General features: G+C 43.1%; 1 annotated feature.

Annotated features, from left to right (window-relative positions):
• Positions 1,615-1,909: a silencer, noted in NCBI's record as "tiled region #11367; HepG2 Repressive DNase matched - State 12:CtcfO, and K562 Repressive non-DNase unmatched - State 13:Ctcf". NCBI's record gives its function as "represses a minimal TATA promoter and a strong SV40 promoter by Sharpr-MPRA in HepG2 and K562 cells {active_cell/tissue: HepG2 | K562}" and the evidence as "EXISTENCE:reporter gene assay evidence [ECO:0000049][PMID:27701403]".

The raw sequence follows: 2,389 nt of genomic DNA, 5'->3' as shown, positions 1-2,389 counted from the left end.
TAATCAATTTATCCTTTCAGTTTGGGTAACAGTAGCTCTCTGGGTCCCAAAGGCAATCAGCTAGTTCCCTGAAGCACACAATTTAGGTATACAGTTTATAAAATGTTAATGTAAATAAAATGATGACTCTTATTTTGAAAAATAGCCTGTAACAGAATTAATGATATTCTAGCAGTGGTATTTGAAAATCTAGCCACAATACCTTAATATTAAATTCTGTATATTCAGTAGTGTATATTTGTCAATACACCACCGCATAATTTATTCATACCACTCACTCAGTGTCCTCCAGCATTGATCTCAAAGCTGTTTTTTTACCTCCGTAATGAAAACTCTAGAACTTAAAATCCTGATCAAATGTAATCACTACCCCGATCAGAAATATGGCCTATGAGGGTTGAGGTAGAAGAAACTTTGTTTTTTTGGCTTGCATTATAAAATCTTTCCCAGAGCTAATCTGAAAAAAAAGGATAAAAACAACTCAGTGAGTCGGGAGCCCTGTTGCCATCTTCTGCTCATCAGCATAGATGGAATTTATCTTTCTGAACCATGTGCTCCAAATGTTAAAAGAAAAGGAATGCCTTTGATAAGATGAGCAAGTGCTGTGTTTAACCAAGATGCAACATTTGGAAATGCACTAATGATGGAAAGTTTTTTTTTTTGGAGACGGAGTCTTCCTCTGTCGCCCAGGCTGGAGTGCAGTGGCACGATCTTGGCTCACTGCAAGCTCCATCTCCCAGGTTTGCACCATTCTTCTGCCTCAGCCTCCCGAGTAGCTGGAACTACAGGTCCCTGCCACCATGCCCGGCTAATTTTTTTGTATTTTTAGTAGAGACGAGGTTTCACCGTATTAGCCAGGATGGTCTCCATCTCCTGACCTCATGATCCGCCTGCCTCGGCCTCCCAAAGGGCTGGGATTACAGACTTGAGCCACCACGCCCGGGTAGAAAGTTTTTAAAAATTCTCTTTAAAATGAGGTTAATTTAATATCAGTAACGGCCTTGGGACAACAGAAGTGAAGAAAGCTTCCCTAGAATGTTTCATTATCCATTGTTAAGTGCTTAGAAAGACAAGAGTTAGCTCTGGGATTCATGGGAATATTACAACTTTCTAACACAGTATGAGGCATGATTGTGATATTTTCATAAACAAAAATAAAAACAAACTATTCCAAGGAAACCTCTGAAGTATGTCTGGTTAAACTCTTCTTGGAGAACATCTTATGAGTAAAACTCAGCACCTTCTCAGGCTTCCGACTCTACCATGGGGTTGGCTAGAAATAAGGGAATGTCATACTTTGCTTTTGAAAGGCAGAAAAATACTAGTTTTCCATTTTATTTGACTTAAAAATCTCCATCATATGTATTTAAGAACTAAGGTTGCCAGTAATGTCAGTCCTTTTATTAATTTACACGTGTATTTATAATATACAAAATTTTATAAGAATATCTAAAGGATCAAGCACAAAAACAGGCAAGACTCCATAGGCTGATACAAATTTATTGAAGTTAACCCAAGAAAAATAAACTATAGATATAATAAATATTCACAAATATTTTTAATCAAATTGACACACCAAATGACAATCACAGTAATATATATGTTGAAACAGGAGAGTTTCCTGATTCCCCTCCCAGGATGTGAGACACGGGTGTTGCTCGCCTGCTTGGTTGCCCCACAGCTCAAACCCCTAGGGGGAGCATGCAGACAGGCAGGTGCAGAGGCCCGGGTGAGCGCTTTCGCGATCCCGCCCCACGACGGCATCTAGGGGTGGGTGTCTGCGACTCCCAAAGCCCAGGTGAGCATGTGTTACAAAGCTCTTTCAGATTTGCCGTCTGCAGAAGGCTTGTGTGTTAATCAGCTCAATGGACCCTCTTCCTTATCTCAAGGGCAGAGGGCCAGTGTGACGGTCTTCTGTATCCTGAGCTCTTGCCGAGCATCTTGCAAGAATCACATCACTCCCAGGTTCAAAGGGTGAGTGCAAGGTTTTATTGAGTGGTGGAGGTGGCTCTAGCAAGGTGGATGGGGAGCCAGAAGTGGGGATGGAGTGGGAAAGTAGTCTTCCCCTGGAGTTGGGCTGCCCAGTGGCTGTTCTCTGACCACCCCTGGCCAAACTCCCCTCGGAGTTCAGATGTCCCTCCTCTTCTCCCTTTCTCTGCCACCTCCTTCTACCATCACTGGTCTGCTGTTCTGCTGGTCTGCTGGTCTCGACAGACATTCAGCTGCCTGTGTGTGTGCCTGCTAAGGTCTCTGGTTTATATGGGGGCACAATTGGGGGGCATGGCAGGCCAAAAAAATTTTGAGGCTGGAAAACAGAAATGCCTGTCCTCATTTAGCGCTGCAGGTCTTCAGGCTTAAGGGTGGGGCCTTTGCCAGGTAACCGCCCTCT

The sequence above is a fragment of the Homo sapiens genome, chromosome 2 (genome assembly GCF_000001405.40).
Source record: "Homo sapiens chromosome 2, GRCh38.p14 Primary Assembly".
NCBI lineage: Eukaryota > Metazoa > Chordata > Mammalia > Primates > Hominidae > Homo > Homo sapiens.
The sequence above is the reverse complement of the archived record's forward strand: the minus strand, read 5'-3'. Positions and strand labels throughout refer to the sequence as shown.